The 21,553-nt window shown below is 36.7% G+C and overlaps 1 long non-coding RNA gene across 1 annotated transcript; it reads right to left on the bottom strand.

The window, feature by feature from the left end:
- Positions 1–8,501: 8,501 nt before the first annotated feature.
- LOC124909449 (uncharacterized) lies at positions 8,502–21,037 on the bottom strand. Its single transcript, XR_007096134.1, has 2 exons — positions 20,952–21,037; positions 8,502–8,617 (listed from the first exon to the last, which is right to left on the bottom strand). It is a non-coding gene; the product is annotated as an uncharacterized LOC124909449 (long non-coding RNA).
- Positions 21,038–21,553: the final 516 nt, after the last annotated feature.

Genomic DNA, 21,553 nt, shown 5'->3' with positions numbered 1-21,553 from the left:
GATCTTGGAGAATGTATCTCTTTTAAGTGTAGTGTACTGTACCAAATAGCTCAGTGATAGATTACATGTTTGGGGAAATATGATCTTATTTGTTATACCATAATTTAGTTCACATCCAGTAATACTTCACTCAGCTTATTTGATCCTGGCATAATTTGAAGAGACAAATGACATAAATATATGTTTCAAAATAAATTCTATAGATATTTGTTTGCTCCCTCTGATAAAATGTATCTCATGGCAGGATAATACGATGTCACAGTTTGAGATTAGTTTTTATTGGTTTTTAAACTGTGCTATTCCCAGACCAACTGGTGCCTTATGTTAAGAATTGTTTCTCAGAGCACCGACTGTAGCACTTTCATTATTGATGAGATTAAGCAATGCAGCCATTTACTGATTGGAGCAAGTATATGGATTCTTCACTATTGTCCATAATTGTGATAAATTAAAGTATGCTTATTTTTTCTAGCCTTCATTTAAAAATTGCATAATTTGCTTGAAGTAGACACTTTTTTTCTCAATTCATCTACTTCTATGATATGTCCTAATGAAGTAATTTCTAACGCATTTGCCTGGCTATAACTCCAGCTCTTTTCACTGACAGAGATGTTTACACTGAATCTGATATCTCATCTTCAATGTCTATATAGTACATCTCCTTGGAAGATTAATTTTGCTGTCAGCGTAACCAAAGCTTGAATTAACTATCTCCCAGATGAATGTTGTTAGAGTTACTGAAAGCAGAGTACAACTACTTACAGTGAGTTGCCATCACATGGAATCTACTCCTGATGACATTTGAAGGGGTGACTAAATTTCCTTCAAACTAAAAGCTGCTCTGGAACCTAAAGACTTTCATTCCAGCCTTCAACAGGATCCTCCTCTCACTTCCTCTTGGTTTATAAATGCCTTCAAAGAAGGATGCCCAGGATTTACCACCTGGTGTTGAAAATGAGAAACTTCAGGAGCCATGGAGATTCCACATGACTCCAGTGCTGGCAAGAAGCCAGGGAAGAGTAAAAGGAGGGATGCAACAGAAAGACTTAGGACTCTTCACAGTTCAACTGCTTCATGTTCCCAGAAAGTATTAAACACATGGAAGACATACTTCTGTTGTTATTGTTGATTGTTGCCCATTTTATGGATAGCTCCCACTCTGTTGGGGAAAAAAGATGAGAAATAGAGAGCTTAATAGATAAGCAATAAAGAAACTAGGTTTTTTTCATTTGCTTTCCATTCAAATCCATTGCTTTAAAAAGCAAAATTAGGCTGGGCATGGTAGCTCACACATGTAATCTTAGCACTTTGGGAGGCTGAGACAGGAGGATCACTTGGGGTCAGGAGTATGAGACCAACCTGAGCAGAATGTCTTTCATTAATTTGGCAATGGAGCTCCCACCCTCAATGATGAGACAAGAAAAGAAAATCCTTCAGTATGAGAGTTATCTTGAAATAAACGGTCCCCAACTCATACATGCCCTTAAACACCATGTTCTTTCTTGGGTTACCATCTTAGAATAAACACTCAGAATATGAATTGTCTTTTCTACAAATCACCACAGCTGTTGATTAGGTTTTGATTTCAATTGTTGGTTTGGGTTTTGATTCAAATGTTTCAAAGCAACATAATTCATTCTTGCATTCATTCCGTAAACATATTGTAAACTACCTATTGAATTTGTTCCAGGAACTATAAAAATGGTGGACATAAAAAGACAAACAAGAATGTTCCTGTTAAGTTGACAGATAAGGTAGGAAGGCTGACATATAAGCCAAAATTATCTTGCCAGATAGACAAAGATGTGAGCAAATATGCTGAACAAAGGAAAGCCTAAGCAAAAGGATTTATTATTGAGCATACAAATTCTAACAGTTATGAATCTTATCTTATGGTCGAGAAAAATATTTTGGTGAGAGTTAGGTTTTATGAGTCAAGGTTGTAAAGAAAGGGAAGGATCAGATGATATTTGTTTTTTAATGCAATGCTAAGGAGTTAGTACTTTATCCTATAAACCAGTGTTTCTCAAAGTGGGTTCATAGACCAGTAGTGATCCCCATCAAGTGACCAGGTGGTCTAGAGATACTTGGATTGTTTTAGAAAGTGAAGTAATAAGCAATTTAATTTATATGCATTTCAGAAATTTGGAATGTGAAATTATTTTCATAAGCTACTATTGTTATAACTATTTCATTCTTTAAAAGTATGCATATGTTACAGAGAATTAAAATTAAAATTCCTTCAAGGACGAGGCAGGTCATGTGTATGAATAAGCAGGTTGTCTATAATTTGTTTTTCAGTATCAGAGAGAAACAGGGAGGGAGGGAACTATGAAGACCTAGGGAGTACATTTTCTGTAAAGAGGGAAGATGTTAAGGAATCCAGCTAATTGTTGCCATGTAGGAATTCAAGATATATTATATCATATCATATATTTAATATAGAAAATATATATTTATAATATATCTACATATTATATAACATATATACATGTAATATTTTATGTATATATGTATTACATATTTGACCTTAATTTATTATATGTATAATATACATGCATGTGCAGGCGTGTGTGTGTGTATTTGTTTTCAAAGAGTAGCCATAAATCTGGATTTCTAGGCAACCTCTTTCAATACGTATGTTGGCAAATAATCCACATTTAAAACACATGTGGCCCAGTAGTATCAAGTCAAAGATCACACATTTGTGGGCCAGGTTTAAAGTCATTGTAACATTACATGGATAGCATTGGTTCATTCTACTCTTCTAGTGCTTGGTTAAAGTGGGGAGGAGCAAGGGAGTTTCACTAGCTAAAATATTTTCATGTCTCTAGGAACTATTGTTTAATGTTTTTAAAATATTTTATATTTTTAATGTATGTTAGATGTGCATTTTACTGTTACTGTGGCATTTCATCATATTTCATGACATATATCTTGTTTACCACAAAAGGTCAATGGCTCAAAAGTGATCCATTGAAGAATAAAACAAGGAATGAAAGTAGAAATATAAATTCTCCGAAGCAAAAATGCTATCTAACTCTGTGTGTGCTGGAAAAGCAAGTTGCCCAAAACTATATCATAAGAAAAAGACAATGGCATTTCTTCTAATTTCCTAATTTACATGATCATATTAACCAATATTTAAATACCTTAAAAGTCATTGATACTATCCTAATCATTTGATTATATTAAAGATTAAGCATTAAATATTCTTTTTACTATCAAAATTACTGTACTGACTTTTTAATTAACATAATTTTGGAAGGAATCCACATTTATCATGTGATAGGTGATCTCCATCATCAAACATGTGCATAGTAGAAGAAACATTGAAGAAGTTAACAAGGAAATGTATTTTCAAATATATGTCTTGTCATTGATTCTTGATAATAATGATGCAATATAAGAGCAACTATTAATTTAACATCAAGTACTCTGCTATATCTTTCCAATGTATGCATGATCTCTTATTGCTAGCAGGAGAATAACTCTTAAAGGAAATTATTGTTATCCCCCCATCACACAAATGAGGAGAGCAAATTCAGGTTATCATATCTATTCAGTTGGTGAAATTTTTAATAATTACTTAATATCACCATTGGTGCCATATAGAAGAGGCAAAGCCAAAATTTAATACAGGTTTTTTTGAATTCTAAACTCATGATCTTTCCATTTCACAATGCTACTCTTCTGCTTTAATCCATGTAAACTTGTACCTACAGCATATTGAGTAGCTCATAGTTAGTATAGTTGTTTTTAGCTTGGTATTTTGATGTTTTAAAAACTTTTAATTTCATATATTTTTCACACTTTTAAAATTTGATACTTACCCCTTTTAATTCCTCTCTAGTTTGTTAACCAAAATATTTAACAAAGAAATCCACCAAGCTTTAAGGAACTATAAACCCATAAACTTTTTTTTTCTTTCTTTTTTTTTTTTTTTAATTTACAGAGTCTCGCTCTGTTGCCCAGGCTGGAGTGCAGTGGTACAATCTCGGCTCACTGCAACTTCCACCTCCTGGGTTTAAGCAATCCTCCCGCTTCAGCCCCCCAGGGAGCTGGAACTATAGGCACAAGCCACCAAGCCTGGCTAATTCTAATATTTTTTGTAGAGAAATAGTTTTACCATGTAGCCCGGGCTGGCCTTGAGCTCCTGAAGTCAAGTGATCCACCTACCTCGGCCTCCCAAAGTGCTAGGATTACAGGCATGAGCCACTGCACCTGGCCAGTGACCATAAACTTTTAAAATGTAGGAGATAATATTTTCAAAATATCAGCCTTAATATTGATCATGTGTATCTCTAGTGATACATCATATAAACACTTTTCTTACTATCATTTCTCCCAGAAATAGCCATTATATTTAAACTCATTATGGATAGAATGTTATCAGGAAGGAAAACTTTTCCTCTATCCTTTTAAATTCTGTAAATGGTGACCTGTGAATTTAACTGACAATAGACACATTAACAGAAAAAAAAACCCTAAAATTTATTTATATGCATATGCTAATGCACAAAAGCAGCAGCTGACTAAATGGCTAGAGTTAGAGGTTTATATACCTAACTTAATAGGGGTGAGGGGTCAAGAGAAAAGGCTTCTATGGAAAGAACAAAAGATTCCTAAGTGAACAAACAGGAGAAAATAAACTTTGAGATGCTTGTTTATGCATGTGTGAGTGGTCTTTTCCATTTTTATCTTCATGGCTATAAAACTCCCTTTAGCGTCATTCCCAGAAGTTTCTGCTTTTAGTAAGATAAGGGAAGCTTGAAAAGACTTCCGTCTGCATCTGTTGAATCTCAGATGTCTTTAGTTTAAAATTCTCTTTATGCCAATTCGAGGGTCTGAGTCCTTAATGTTAAACTTTACCCACATAAGAAAATTTTTTTAGATATAAGAATTTTCCTATGATGCTTACTTATTGAAAACCTATCCTCCAATTACAAAAATACTCATTGAATCTGTTACCAGCCACAAGTTCTTAGGCTCCTACGCAGTAGAAACTGACACAAGGCCAAGCAAATTTCCCAGACAAAGCTTTTATTGGGGGCTTATGTTTGAGCACCAGAGAGACTGTACAGGAGGGAGAGTTCACCAGCTTGTGATCCTTTATTTGGCAAGGGAAAGGAGTCAATGTTAAAGGAAAGCTATGTCAGCATGATTAGGGAGGGGGTTTCAGCTGTGCAAACGTAGTGTAGAAACATACTTTTTCATACATCACATGACTAAAAAGTGGCAGAAAGCTCCTCCTTGAGTGGGGATTTTAGTATTATTGAGAGGTGAAGCCAGCTGGACTTCCTGGGTCAAGTGGGGAATGGGATAACTTTTCTGTCTAGTTAGAGGTTTGTAAAACGCACCAATCAGCTCTCTGTGGCTAGCTAGAGGTTTGTAAAATGGACCAATCAGCACACTGTAAAATGGACCAATAAGTGCTCTGTAAAATGGATCAATCAGCACTCTGTAAAGTGGACCAATCAGCACTCTGTAAAATGGACCAATCAGCAGGTTGTGTGTGGGAACAAATAAGGGAATAAAAGCTGGCCACCCCAAATGAAGATGGAAACCATCATTCTGAGCAAACTACCACAAGGACAGAAAACCAAACACTGCGTGTTCTCACTCATAGGTGGGAATTGAACAATGAGAACACTTGGACACAGGGTGGGGAACATCACACACCGGGACCTGTCATGGGGTCGGGGGAGGGGGGAGGGATAGCATTAGGAGAAATACCTAATGTAAATGATGAGTTAATGGGTGCAGCACACCAACATGGCACATGTAAATATATGTAACAAACCTGCACATTGTGCACATGTACCCTAGAACTTAAAGTATATATAAAAAAAAAAAAGCTGGCCACCCCAGCCAGCAGCGGCAACCCACTCGGGTCCCCTTCCACGCTGTGGAAGCTTTCTTCGTTCGCTCTTCACAGTAAATCTTGCTGCTGCTCACTCTTTGGGTCCGTGCCACCTTTAAGAGCTGTAACACTCACCTCAAAGTCCGCAGCTTCATTCTTGAAATCAGCGAGACCAAGAACCCACTGGAAGGAACCAACTCCAGACACATTACAATGAGGCAAAAGGTCAGGATCAGTCATTCTGCTGGTCTTGCCTGTAATAGGGTTAACTCCTCTGAATAAGATTTATGGTGGATTTATGGTGGCTGCCTATCTTAGTTTCTTCATATAGTTTGCAAGGTCTGGTGAGCAGGTATGGCACTAATGGAGGTGGTACAGCAAAGTCTGGTAGTCAGCAGATATGAAAAAAAAATGCATTAGTGGGTGTTGAGGCCCAAGTCTCATCCCTACTCTGTCGCATTCCCACCCCCGCCCCTCCACAACCAATCACCTGAGAGATTTTATCTTCCTTTTTCTTAAGGAGAAGGGGCTAGAGTTCTCATCTTCTGGAGCTATTTCCTGCTCATCGGGGTTGTCATCCCTGCCTAACTTTGGAGGCTGTAAAAATCTCTCACTGACTGGTCTAATGATGTACAGGGACTCAGATCCTCCTGGGATAGTATTGGTTGTTCCACCATTAGCTTGACTGGGGGATTTCAAGCCTGAGAGGCACAAAGTTTAATAGTCCTCACCCCTGTGGAATAACATAAATAATTATTTAAAAAAATAAAATAGCATCAGTGATAATTAGTAAACATCCTTAAGCCCAGTTTAACATGCCCATAAGAACAAATCAGATGCCATCTGGAATCCAAGTGAATAGGCTAGAAAACCAGTCTCCTGCCATCTGAAATATCAGAGTGTGTTGATCTAGAGTATGTTGCAACTAAGTAACTTTCTGTCTTATTTTTTTCTATTCTAATTTCAATTTGTGAAAATGCATTTATATATGCGCAGCAAGAGGAATTAGTTAGCATGCAACCCCCACCTTGTTCGGCAAACATGTAATGTAGAGCTATTCTATTATCTAAAACTACCTGGGCTAGTGAATTGAGTGATTCTTCAAAATCAGTTAAAGAATTGGCAGTTTCATTAGCTAATATGAATATGGTCTTTGAAATATTCCTCAATACCCATTGATGAGCTGCTACTCCCCACCAGGAAAGCAATGAATAGCCCCAAAAAGTTTGTCTTCATCTGGGATACCTCCTGGTAAATCTCTTGCTACCTCAGTGAATAATTTGAAGGAGCTCGTCCAATGATTGACTTTAGTGTTTTTGTGAACACAAAAACAGACCACTGAAGTTTCCATAAGATATGACCCCTTGTTAGTTTCATTGCTTAGACATGGGGACACCTATTCTTTGCCATCCCATGCACACACAAAAATGTAGCATGGGAGTGCACTCATCTTATGTGTGGCATTTTGGGATGATTGGGTAATATTAATATAAGGGTCTATTGCATGTCTCCAACCCCACACATTCTTACATATTGGTAACAGCCGTTCCTTTCTAGGGTCAAAGGCTTTGCATAAATTTAAAGGTAGGCTTAACTGTTGATCCTAGGTGGGTATTTCACATTTTAAAAAGCAGAGTAGGAGTTGGAGTTGTCCTGGAAGATGTACGAATTTGACCCAATATGTAACCTGAGATGTTGTGGTGGTGTGGGAATTGGAGGCTCTGGAGCCCCAAGGGGTTATAGACTAGAAAAATATAAAACATAAGTTAGGAGACTTTCAGCCCAGAAGGAATACAAGATTCAGTACAAATTGTAGAAAATAATAATCAAAAACCTCAAAACAGTGAACAAGACTAGAATCTAAAAATAGGTATACTATAGTTTTTTTGAATTTTTCTTGAAACATAATTTTTCTGTCTCCAGTCTCTCATTTTTACCAAAGACAAATCATGGTAGGACCAATTTATTTGCAAAATTAGTTTTAGTCTTATTATATTTGGCCTGATTATTTGTCTATAGTGCCACAATTTGTATATATAGTGCCACATTTGTATATAGTGCTCTTTTTTTTAAATTGGCTTTGCTGAAACTTTGTTCCATAAGGAATCTTGGACCTTTTTTTTCCCATAAGGAATCTCAGTTTGTTTGTTTGTTTGTTTGTTTGTTTGTTTGAGACAGAGTGTCGCTTTGTTATCCAGGCTAGAGTGCAGTGTGCGATCTTGGCTCACTGCAACCTCCGCCTCCTGGGTTCAAGTGATTCTCCTGCCTCAGCATCCTGGGATTACAGGTGTGAACCACCACACCCAGCTAATTTTTGTATTTTTAGTAGAGACAGGGTTTCACCATGTTGGCCAGGCTAGTCTTGAACTCCTGACCTCAAGTGATTCACTTGCCTCAGCCTCCCAAAGTGCTGAGATTACAAGCGTGATCCACCTTGCCTGGCCTCAGTTAGACTTTTTAAAAGCCATGAGCCCAGCCATGGATTTATCTGTGCCTGCATTTGCTGGATGAATTGGGTGATTCCTCTCCTCTCAAGGTCGTAAGATAACTTGGGGCTCTTGGAACTGTAAGAAAGTGACATTCTTTACTTACCACAGGAATCTTGTACAGGGACTGGATAGATAAGACATGAGGCCAGTTTCTCCAAGGGGTTTTTATTGGCTCTATAAGTCAACTCCAATTTTTGAAAACAGTCTGAAAACATGGCATTTCAGATAAAGCCTTGGTGAAACAATCAGTGTCTCCAATTGTGTCCTGTTACAAAAGAAAGGAGATTCTTATTGCACTTATGCAAATAACTATACTGCCATAAGTTAAGAATACTCACAAATAGTTTCCAGATTTTGGAGAAATCAGGTAGAGAGGAAAAAATATGCTCCAAGAAAACACTGTAATTCTGACACATGGGCCCATATTCTGGCCCTACATCAGTGTGTTTTTATGTTAATGTTTAATTACGGAAAAACTAAATAGTACCCTTTTAATTTGAGCCAACTTGCTCACACGCAGAATTTCTTTTACAAGGTTAATCTTTCACAAGCCTTCTATAACTTGCTTAAACCTTCAGCTTTATCTTATCTTTTTTTAACTTAAAACATCTTCAAACCTTCTAAACTGGATGAAATTACTTACTTTTTTTAAAAAAAACCACATTCCCTTGCCTTTTAATCAAAAACATATAACTTTTATTTCTCTAAAAGGGAAGCAATTAAATATTTTTTATTATATACCAGGTACAGAGTCTAGCACACAGGACACAACCACAGATAATGTCTGATGCTTTCCCACATTGCTAGGGGGCATGGCTAACTCCACATGTCCCCAGGCCTTGTGGAATCTAATAGCTCTAAAGCAGGCAAGTTGAACATTTATAAAAAGTCATAAAAGCAGTTCATGATCTTAAAGCATCTAATAAAGACAGTATCTGACCTGTCTAATTTAGACCAAATGTCTAAATTTTGACATAAAAAGTTTTTAACTTATTTTACTAATAATCTTTAAGCTGTCTTTATTTATTAAAGATTATTAAAGTAATATGAACTAAAAGGCATATTAGTTAAAGTTTTTATTTTTCTTATAAAATATTTTATTTAAGCACTTTTCTTTAAGCAAATTAATTAGAGCTCTTTCATATATTTTGGTAATGAAACATTACACACATGTCACATATAAATACACAGATAGAAACAGATCTCATTGTTATATAATTTTTCATTTACCAGTTTTTAAGTTTCTCTTTCTCATTTTAGACCATCAGTATCTTGATTACCTGTTCCCTTCCCTAAACAATTGTCAGCCAAGCTGTTCCAAATTTGCATTTTTAAAGAGATAATTCTTAGGTGAAACAAAATAGGGAATTCATATTTTATTTAAACAAAGGAAAAACGGTGTAAGTAAAAGTTCAGTCAAACTGCCAGGAAAAACAGACATTCTGAGACATGGAGGCTTCCTTAAAGGTGTAAATTTCTTGACTGAATTATTGGCTTTAGGGTGGAGCCTTTTAAGAGACAGCCTATACCTCCTATGTCCTTCCATTAAAGGGCCAGGGCTTGGATGCAGGCTCTGAGACCAAGTGATTGCAAAGAGAGATCACTCCAGGTCCCACACAGCACAGTGCTATAAGTCATGCAAGAAGGTCAAAGTGTCAAGGGAGGAGAGTGAGTCAATTCCCACTCAAAACTGAGTACAGGCTTGGATAGTCCTCTCTATCTCCTCAACTTCATACCTGGTCGAGGTCCTACTGAGTTGAAGCCCATAGTCTGCAGTAACCAAGTGACAATGAATAAAGTGATGCATTAGACAAACAAAAAGAGAAAGTGGGTCAGGACAGGGATTGCTCAGAAATTGAATCCAAGTACTATCTCTTCTTTTCTCACAAAGACTGCATGCAGAATGACAGAACTGCATGCTCCAACAAAGGACAAAAAAGGTCACATACCTCCTTTCCTCACCAAGTGCCACACAGGGAAGTGAAGTAGCAAGGGGCTTTAAACAGAGTTGCTGAATCAAGAGCCAGGATGCCTGAAAGAGTTTTTCCACCGCATGGAAGCCAGGGGAAGGGTGCAATGCACACTTGCAACCCACTGTATACTGGGTTGATCAGCCTTGGGAAACTGACCATTTCAATCTGTCCCTCATGGATGTCTGTTAAAGTGGCTCCAACCAGGAAAAACCAAGCTGACAATTTCAATCTCTCCCTCATGGATGTCTACTAAGGCCAAGCCAGTTAAAATAAGAGGAAGTGAGAAAGGGAAAAAGAGCACCAGAAAGAACAATGGAGATAGAAAAGAAAAGAGAACTGTGGGCAAGGGAGCCTGAAGAGTCCCGGGCAGGCTAGAGGGACTCCCCAGTTGCAGTGACACTGAATCAGAAATGCAGACGGTCACTACTCTGTCATGAAGAGTTCGCAGCCAGCAGTCCTGCTGGCTCTCAAGTCTCCTCCTCCAGGAGAGAAAATGCTACCCACATCCTGTGGTCCTGCTGCATTCACGAAGAAAGCTGTTACTGACCAAGGTTCTTGGGCTCCCACGCAACAGAAATTGACACAGGGCTAAGCAATTCCCTAGGCAAGGCTTTATTGAGGACTTATGCTCAAGTACAAGAGATACCGTACAGGAGCAAGAGTTCCCCATCTGACTCCCTGAGAGGAGTCACTCAGGATCTTTTATTTGGGGAGGGAAAAGGGCCCATGTTAAAGGAAAAGTATCTAAGCATGATTAGGGAGGGGTTTCTGTTGCACAAGTCAGTGTAGAAATGTTCTTTATATGTCACATGATTAAAAATGGTAGATAAACCCCTCCTTGGGTGGAGACTTTAGTATTATAAAGAGGTAAGGGGTCAGGATGAGTCATTCTCCTGGTCTTATATTTTACTGATGTGATCCAACAAATTATGTTTATAAATTATTCTGAATTATCTTCTATAATGGTGGTTCTCAAACATTTTCAGACCAGGGACCACTTCAGCAAGAGCAAATGACATTTTCAGACTAGCATCGTGGGTATACACCTTGTGTGCATGCAGGCAATAGGGTTAATTCCCTTGAGTAAGATTTATAGTGGAATGCTACTTGTCTTAGTTTCTTCATACAGTTTGCAAGGTCTGATCAGCTGGTATGGCACCAGGTCAGGGGTGGTCCTGCAAGGTCTTGTAGTTAGTGGTTATGAAAAAAATTCATTAGTGTGGGCGGGGGCCAAGTACCTTTCCAACTCTGTCTCATGTCTAATTGGGTTGTTCTTTAAATAATACAGACCTTAGATGACTTTCTTAACATGACACGTGAAGCCAAGCAAGATAACCTGGCCAAATGCATTCAGCCCCAAATAAGTAAATGGTAACTCAGAATGATGAACTGAAGAGGGAAAAAACAAGGAAGAGGCAGTGATCTAAAATAGAGTATAGGAAAGTAAATGAAGTTATCAAGTGCTCTCATTAAAAAGCAAAAGAACAAGGCTAATGGTCTCTTCAATCATTCCATTGTTTCACAGGCATTACAAGAGCTAACATAGAGCAAAAAAATCAATAGTCATTTCTGTCACTATGAGATACAGAGTGATAATGCCCATCATTTCATAGTACTGTTTGTAAAATAAACTCTTCCTATGGCCATGGCAAATATGTAAATTGTACAAAGTTTCTAAACATGACCTACAGATAATTAACAATTGAATTTCTTATTAAAATATAAAACACTCAATTTGTCTAATTACAAAATTCATCATCTTTCCTCCTCCAAAAGAAAAACTCTTCCCAAATTTCCCATTTTAGATAATGACACCATTGTTGGTGGAAACTTTCCTAGATCAGTGATGATTTATATGCTTCCTTCTAGTGTGAGAAAATACATTTCTAATTAGATTTTAATTTGATTTAATATTATAATAAAGAGTCTAAGAGTAATTTTACTTTTGTCTTCACATAGCTCAAAAATAGCAGTAGAATGGGGGAAGCAGTATATTACATAAGTGATTTTATTAGGATCTAAGACATTGGTAAGGAATATTTGAAAATGTTTCTCTCCCCAGGGGATATTCCAATGAATCCCTTCAGAGGAATCAAAATGTATCGAGAGAAAAGTGATTCTTTTAAAAATGTCTGCAATGGTTTGGCTCTGTGTCCCCACTCAAATCACTGAATTGTAATCCCCAGTGTTGGGAGAGGGACCTGGAGGGAAGTGATTGAATCATGGGGGTGGATTTTCCCCTTGCTATTCTTGTGATAGTAAATGAGTTCTCATGAGATCTGATTGTTTAAAAGTGTGTAGCACTTCCCCCTTTGCTCTCTCTCCTCCTGGCCATGTGAATGTGCGCTTGCTTCCCCTTCACCTTCAGCCACGATTGTAAGTTTCCTGAGCTTCTCCAGCCATGCCTCCTGTATAGCCTGTGGAACTGTGAGTCAGTTAAACCTCTGTTCTTTATAAATTACCCAGTCTCAGGCAGTTCTTTATAGCAATGTGAGAACAGACTAATACAATGTCATTTTGAGGGATTCACTAATTTAACATTTATATATTGATTGTCATATATATGCTGGGATTGTGCTAGGAAAAAACATATATGACATTGTTGCAACTCCCCAATGGCTTACAATGGGGAAGATAAGATGTGTACACAAATAAATGGAATACCCGTGTAATACAGACTCTTTCAAAGGAAAGTGTCCCAGGATCTCACTCAGAAAAATCACTTGCAGCTGGGGCAATTAGGAAGCTCCCTACTGGAGCTGAAGCCAACAAGGCAATGGGGCATTTTGATAAGTACATATTTAGGAAGAGAATTGCTGGCTGAGGAGATTGTGTAAACCAAAACAATAGATGTGCAGGAGATGGGAATATGTAAAACAATATTACCACCAAGTGGAATATCAGGACAAATCATTAGGTGTACTGGGTTTGATCAATTAGCAGAGAAAGAATCTAGAATTGAGGTTAGGGATTAATGAGACATCAAATGCACCTAGCTAAATATCAGAAATAATTACCATATTCTAAATGAGAAGTGAGCTGTATACCCCTGTTGCTAGGCAGAAAACATCATTTGCTCTTGCTGAAGTGGTCCCTGGTCTGAAAATGTTTGAGAACCATCATTATAGGAAAGAATTTAGAATCACATATAAATATAATTTGTTGGACCAAATCAGTAAAACATAAAATTTGTAACTTAGATTGGTTTTGCTCTTTATTACAATGGTGTGTGAGCATCACATTTCTTATTGGTTTCTATTTCCAGGAAAATAACAGATCTGAGTAGTCTCTCGCTAAGATGAAAATAACAGGATTCACCATAACCCAGTGGATTTGCTTGGAAATTTATAATATCATTAAGTGCAATTCAAAGATAATACACTGAAACACCAAGCCAGGTGTATAGAGTAGCATATGAGATGATAAACATTGTCTCCGTGGATAGAGTCCCAGCCACTTGCCAAGCCAACAGCAAACACCAAAAGCCCCAACCTTCTCTCACATGGAAACAGTATGCTAATATTGTTTAGCAAATACAAATAAATATTAGTCACTAAACTCTTCTTCACTTTGTTTTCATCTATTTGTTTTTAAAGATTCATTAATAAGTATATAAGAAAATTTTGGGGGAAAAATCATTAAGTCTAACCCTCATCTATTTCCTTTCCAACTGCAGAGATTGTTTCCATACTGAATTATTACATTTTAATGATGTTATAAAAATCTTACCTCATTCATAGAGATAAATAATAGAAATAACCATAAATATTAAAATGAAGCACTAATATTTAAAGCGTTTTTAAATCCAAGAGTGTAAAAATCTAAACAGATTTTTAATAATTTTTATAATTGCACATTTTCATTTTCATGAATTTATACATGTGTAATATTTTGCTGACACCTACAAAGTGCATTTATTGAATGTCAAGCTAGTGCTTCACATGTACTATCACTAATGCTTGAAACAATGCTGCAAGCTAAATATCTTTAACTCATTCTACATATAAGAAATCTAAAGTCAAAGAGCTAAAGTAATTTCTCCTGGGTTATAATGTTGGTACAAGACCAAGCTGAGATTTTGAAGACCTCTAGCTGATGTGGGCTTTTTTCATTTTATTTTAAAGGCATTGTTAATTAAATTCTTTATATGTGTCAATTGTGAGACTTTCCGTGTCGATTTCGTCTAATCCTCATAAAAACCCTATATATTTCAACTAACTATGAAATTTGTTCTACAAAAATAAAAACTTAAGGCACAGAAAGAAGAAATAAGTTATCTGCATTCATACAGATCCTAAGAAGTGGGGTCCAGTATACAGTTCAATAGAGCAAAGTTACCAACTAATTGTTCCATATGAAATGTAGAACATTTGTTTACTGAATTACTCCATACCATTATCATTATTATAACATAATCTTTTAATGCTGTGGAATCTATGTATTATGCTCCCAGTAGGCCCTAGGCCTTTAGTGGATATTTTTCTTTGCATTTTATGCTATATGTATTTTAAAAAATTCTTTCAAAGTCTATGTTTCACTGGAATAGCCTCTAATAGAAAAAAAAGGCCCAGTAGAGGTCAATTGTAAATAAGGACAGAGTAAATGTAGCATAAGATTTGCCTACCATTTGCTAATCTGCCTGTGGTTTATAATTTCATGTATTATAAACATTGATTCTTTATTCATTTTAAAATATAAAAATATCTAACCTTCACTCATTGTATTTAAAGAAAACTGAATAGATTTATGAATGTAAAAATACCTTCTTTTGCTCAAGAACGATACAAAATTAGCAATTGCATAGCTCTTGATTAGTCATTACTTATAAGTCAAACACATTATTGTCTCCTTCCCCTCCAACTCTGACTCACTGAAAAGTGAGAAAAATATATGCTTGGGTGGTTTCTACTTTGTTCTTTTCAATAAAATGTTGAAATAAGATGTTTCAAGCTAGACACTAAGTTTTTGCTAGTTTTCTTACCTACACGCAAATAACCTGCTTATTTTGAAAAATTTAAAATATAATAATTGACTTGACCTTTGAGAGGTGGTTAGCCCAGCGCCTAGTAAAGAAGACACACAGTAGAAGTTCCATCTTTGTGTGGTGCCCTCTCTACCATCTGTAGTTTAACAGAAAGAGAATAGTCCTTGGCCATGTCTGAGTGTGGTCACTGCATTGTCCGAGTGTGGCCTTCTCAGGAACAATCTTTACTAATGGTGGCATACAACTCAATATCTTATCTATTAGATGACTTTATTTTTGCCATTCCTAAAAGTATTTCTCATCTCCCAGCTTGTTCCTAATCTTTACCCTTTACATACATCATGTAGATGATAGATTTTTCTTCAGGCCAATTGATAATGCACTGCCTCTTTCACTGCTTGAGAGAGAACCAGCTGAGCTTATTGTGTTCATAGATGCATCTCAGCCTTGCTGCAATTTTTCACAATATCATAAAGCTAGCCAAAGCACTCAAGAAATGAAATTTTCATCTACTGGTGATCAGAGAATCTCAGAAATTTAGAATCATGAGTAATCTTGTAGCTCATGAAGATCAACTCCTTCATTTTTCAGTGAAAGAAACTTCATTCTAAAGAGTGGAGGGGCTTCTCTGACACCATGCAGTGAGTGAGGAGCAGGGTTGGAGCTAGAGCTCACATTTTCTGACTTAAAGCATTCTTTCCTCTCAGTTCCAGCTGCCTCCCATTTTCTGCATGATGTCATTAGGCAAGAATGTTAAAAACTGGCAGTCACCACTTTCAACCACTTTCATCTCCTTCTCAATGCATTGTGACAGTTCTGAAAAATAGTGGGGATCATTGAGAGAGTGAGACATGCATGTATTCTGACTCCCTATTATTGAGTTATGTCAGTATAGGCCTCTCCCATCTTGGGGTGCCCCGTCTGCCTTCACGTTTGTCTTCACATATATATCATTGCTTTTTTCTGGTAAAGAATTGACTAAGCAATGACACAGGAAAGGGTTGGTATTTTTGTCTGTTTGTCCTTGCTCTAAAGTTGAGGCCATGTAGGGGTCATCATGAATTTGAGCAGATATTAGACTGAAATGTGAGAGCAGGAGAACACTTTTCCAGATGCATCTGTATTTAATTAGGCAGTCAAGCCAATCTAATTCTGACATTTGACAGCTTAACTCTCTGATATTGAAAGGCAATTTGTGAGGTAAAGCGTTTGTTAAAAGTAAGCATAAAGGCAAAACTAAGATGCTGACTTTTAAGGTGATGGTCAGCCATACTATAGTATCTATCCTCAATAGCATCATAATTATACTAATTGTACCAACTTTATCACCTTAACTTTTCTCAACACTTAGGACAGAGTACTATAAATAGAAAATTCCATGGATGATTTTCAAATAAGAGGAAATTATATAAAAAATCATTTTTTAAATTTTGACTAGAAAATTATATAGGAAAGATTTCAAATATAAGAATGAGTTTAAAGTAAAGAAAAATTCATATATAATAATATAATAATATTTATTCACTTCCTCATGGTTGTTTTAATGTGCATTTAATTTTGTCCTGTATTTTGCCTCTCTACATCAGAATTTCTATAGCAATATCTACGCTAAGTATAAAAGGAAACCACTATTAATTCACACAGTAGGAGATACTATTAGTTGCTTACTATGAATAGTTATCAAGTAAATGAAGATTAAAAGAGCAAAACATCATTTTATAGCTATGAAATTTATCAGAAGTATTCTTGTTAGTATACGTTAAAATTGTTACACTTCGAAATTGGTGGTTTAATTGTAAAGTCATTTACAGATGGCTTAAGCTGTAAAAAAACATTAGCACTCTTTAGCCCAGTAGTATCATCCTCTTTAGTTCCGGCTAAAATGTATGTATGTGAAGGTTTTATATATATGGTTCTTTATAATATTTTTAAAAATGGATTTTGCTAAATGCCTAGCAATTTGGGAACTGGTTAAATTAGGGCAAAGCAACTGTCAGCATATTACGTAATTATTAAAAAGATGGTCGTAAAGACCAAGTAGCAATACAAAAAAGGATTTATATTATAATATAGTGTTAAAAAATAGAATACATGCTGTTGTTTGAAGTACGTTTATTTAACCATGTGGGAAAAACTGAAAAGCAGAAAATGGAAACTATTGATTTATGCTATACGGCATTTAGTTGCTTTCATTATGTTTAGTTCAGTTAAAAATGTGATGTCTCTAGTATCACAAACAAGCTGTAAGATATGAAATAAAAGTCAACATTTCAAGAAAAACATCAGGAATTTCTCTAAGAAATAAAACAGATTAAAGTAATTGCTTCCAATGTCATGGGAGACAAAATAAATTTCAATAAGAAGACAAATAACGTAAGTAAAGTCATAAACTCAAAAAGCAAGCCGTGGAACAAATGATGCAATATTTTTGAATTTTTCAGAATGTTACTGACATTTTTATAGGGAGACAATAACAATATTTACATGGTTTTTGAAAAAGATACTTGTATATTCAATTTATGTGTGAAATTAATTTCTCTATCCTGAAGTCATTTCAAAAAATATTTTGAGATAAACCACCTGATTAAGCCTTAGATTACTCACCACCGGCATATATTATAATAGTCTGTTATATTTAAGCTATGAAGAAATCCTTGAAGTATTTGGAATGAAGTTTTAGAGAGCCTATTTAACAAATTAGCAATTCAGGTTAACATGGGAAAAACAGTTATTATTCTTAAAAAGAGATACTTAAATATTTGCTGCAATTAAGATTTAGAGAAAAGTATGTGCTTACGTCTATTACGTATTACAAATAAATGTTACTGTAGCACATTGCGTCTATATTTCAGCTAGGTTGCTTTTAAAACTGAATTAAATACAAAGCAACATTCTAACACAGCTGTTTAATAAAAATCCCAGGCAATTTTTGTGGGATTCATGAGTAAAAGGAATCTGTGCATTACTTGTGGGGTGGATATACAAGAAGAGGGCAAGACTCCAAAAAGAAAATAACTGTACGTTATGTCTAGTCACATGGGACTTTAGACAAGTTCACAGAGATTTCCTGGTCCCCAGGAGCTGTAGAAGAATCTGTATGCTCTCAGGAGTGGCAGAGGAGAAACAAGAAAAGCAGCAGCCAGCCTTGAGGCAACCGTGGTACCAAGAACGAATGACATCTTATTGTTAACATCTGACCGATAGCTAAGTTCCAGAGAAGCCAATGGATGCCTCTGAAGATACTAATTTGAACAGATTCTTTTTAAAGCCAGATAGCAATCTATTTTTTAGTCCCCACAACACCCCAAACAGAATACGGACCCAGAAAAAATACAGGGAATCACCAATTGAAAGAAGAAGCTTGAAAATAAAATCTAACTTATAGGCCGGGCGCGGTGGCTGACGCCTGTAATCCCAGCACTTTGGAAGGCCGAGGCGGGCGGATCACGAAGTCAGGAGATCAAGACCATTCTGGCTAACATGGTGAAACCCCGTCTCTACTAAAAATACAAAAAATTAGCGGGGTGTGGTGGTGGGCGCCTGTAGTCCCAGCTACTCGGGAGGCTGAGGCAAGAGAATGGCGTGGGCCGGGCGTGGTGGCTCACGCCTGTAATCCCAGCACTTTGGGAGGCCGAGGCGGGTGGATCATGAGGTCAGAAGATCGAGACCATCCTGGCTAACAAGGTGAAACCCCGTCTCTACTAAAAATACAAAAAATTAGCCGGGCGCGGTGGCGGGCGCCTGTAGTCCCAGCTACTCGGGAGGCTGAGGCAGGAGAATGGTGTGGACCCGGGAAGCGGAGCTTGCAGTGAGCCGAGATTGCGCCACTGCAGTCCGCAGTCCGGCCTGGGCGACAGAGCGAGACTCCGTCTCAAAAAAAAAAAAAAAAAAAAAAAAAAGAGAATGGCGTGAACCCGGGAGGCGGAGCTTGCGGTGAGCCGAGATCACGCCACTGCACTCCAGCCTGGGCGACAGAGCCAGACACCATCTAGAAAAAAAAAACCAAAAAAAAAAACCAAAAAACTAACTTATAACTCTTCCATATTTTTAAATTATTTTAACATTTTTATGGAAAATGCTAAATTCAACACCATTTTTGTCTTAAAAGATGAGTTTTTTTTTCTTTCTGCCACCATCTCTATTCCAAACTCCACGGCCTCACTGAAAACATTTATTACAAAGACAGAGAATCATAGGCTTTTAAAATCAGAATGGTTGTTTGAGATGTTGAGTTCATTGGTTCCCAGACTCTCAATGATGCAGATCATCTGGAGACCCTGTCAAATGCAAGCTTCCCAGGCCTTCTCCTGGAAATTCTGATTTAGTGAGTTTGGAGTAAGTGTGGGAATTTGTACTTTTAGCAATGCAAGTACCACAGGTGATCCTTATCCTTAGGAAATTTTAGAAAATATGGAAACTTTGAGCCCAGCTCCATTTCTTCAGAGAGGAGGAGATGCATCCAAAGGTTACATGGCCAGTAAGTTAGCCCCGGATATGAGACTCCTACTGCAGTATCCTGTGATTTCTCTCTCTCTTTTTCTAACTTCTTAGTGGCTTTGAATTATGATCAGAATAGGAGTTCTATCTAGATGGTTTCAACAAAAACAAAAAAAACAAATTTGATAAAGATATGTTTTAAAAAAGTAGAAAACATACGGATTTTTCATTGACAACAGTCTATATTAAAATGTTTTACGTATACATAGTGCACTGCTTACATGCCCATCTTGCATTACATAATAATACATTAATTAAAAAATACATATATATATTCAAATACTAAGACATTTAGCTTAAACTCAGACTTCTGGAACCCTCAGTTCTTAGATCACCTATGAGTTTCATGGGAGTGACTGTGTAGGAGTGACAATTGTGGTATAAAAAACATCAGGTTGACAAGGAGCAAAATGGAGGTTCCTGATATTCTACGCTGCCACAAAGAGTTCCACTTTTATATATTTTACATGCAAGTCTTCAGCATACAGTTCCATGTAAATAAAGAGTTCTGTGGCTAAAACCTGTTAGAGGCCATTGCATTACAGCTAAGTTCACCACACAGACAGACATATTTCAATCTTCAATATTTAAGTAGAAAGCAATTTACCTTCTAGCAATTTACAGGAGGGATATAATCATATCCTCCCAAAACCAGAACATTTCAATATAGGATTTCTATATAAGGATAATACAAAATCAATACCAAAATACACGGTAGAAGTCAATCTAATAATCTAGGTCACATACTCATCACTCTATCTTACCCTACAGATGCCCAATACCCATCTCTTCCTGGAATTACATTTTGTGAATTTGCTGGGTGGAGAAGAATGATGAAGCAGGGCTATTAGATTACAACTATTTATTTAATTTGTGAAGCAGATCTCTATACTAATAGGTCCTATATAAAAATGAGTTTTCTAGAGAAAGTCCCTAATACAGCTTCACTCCAGCACAGTACAACTTAGTAACCACATTGGGGTGGGGGTTGGTAACTAGCATAATTAGCCTATACCCAACAGAAAGCCAAAACTCTACTCTTTAACCAAATAGTTTTTATAGCTGAAAATCAACTTTCCAAGAGATTGCATTTTTAGAACCTTAGACATATCAAAGGTTTTAAAATAATAGCCTGGTATACCTACTTTACATCACACTTCTGTTTTCTTATTCTATTATTACTTTTTATCTTCTCCTCCCCGTAAGTTCATCAAGGCTTGCTGTCAATTAACTTCAAGGATCATAACAAAAGTTCTGCAAGAGAAGATTGACAATGCTAATTATTGGCAACAGTTTTTGGATTTCTAGTTTCCTTGTCAGATCCTGTGGTGCCATCTTAAATGGCTAGATATTTTTTCAGGCATATGTGGTAGTTTTGAAAATCAAACTGATTACTGTTGACTTGATTCTCTATGCAATACAAAGCTGGGTAATTTTTAAGCAGAACCTTAAGCAGAAATTCACATCAGTGTGTCTGGTTGCAAAACAACAGAAAATGATTCTAGCTAAAAGCCTCGCCTCTTTTTGCTACTCATAAGGTTTGGCTCTGTGTCCCCACCCAAATCTCACCTTGAATTGTAATAATCCTTACATGTCAAGGGTGGGACAAGGTGGAGATAATTGAATCACAGAGGTGGTTTCCTCCATGCTGTTCTCAAGAGTGAGTGAATTCTCATGAGATCTGATGGTTTTATAAGGGGCTTCCCCCTTCACTTGGCACGCATTCTTTCTACTGCCGCCCCTGAAG

Source organism: Homo sapiens, chromosome 3 (genome assembly GCF_000001405.40).
Source record: "Homo sapiens chromosome 3, GRCh38.p14 Primary Assembly".
Lineage (NCBI taxonomy): Eukaryota > Metazoa > Chordata > Mammalia > Primates > Hominidae > Homo > Homo sapiens.
Note: the sequence above shows the minus strand (reverse complement) of the source record. Positions and strands in the feature narration are given on the sequence as shown.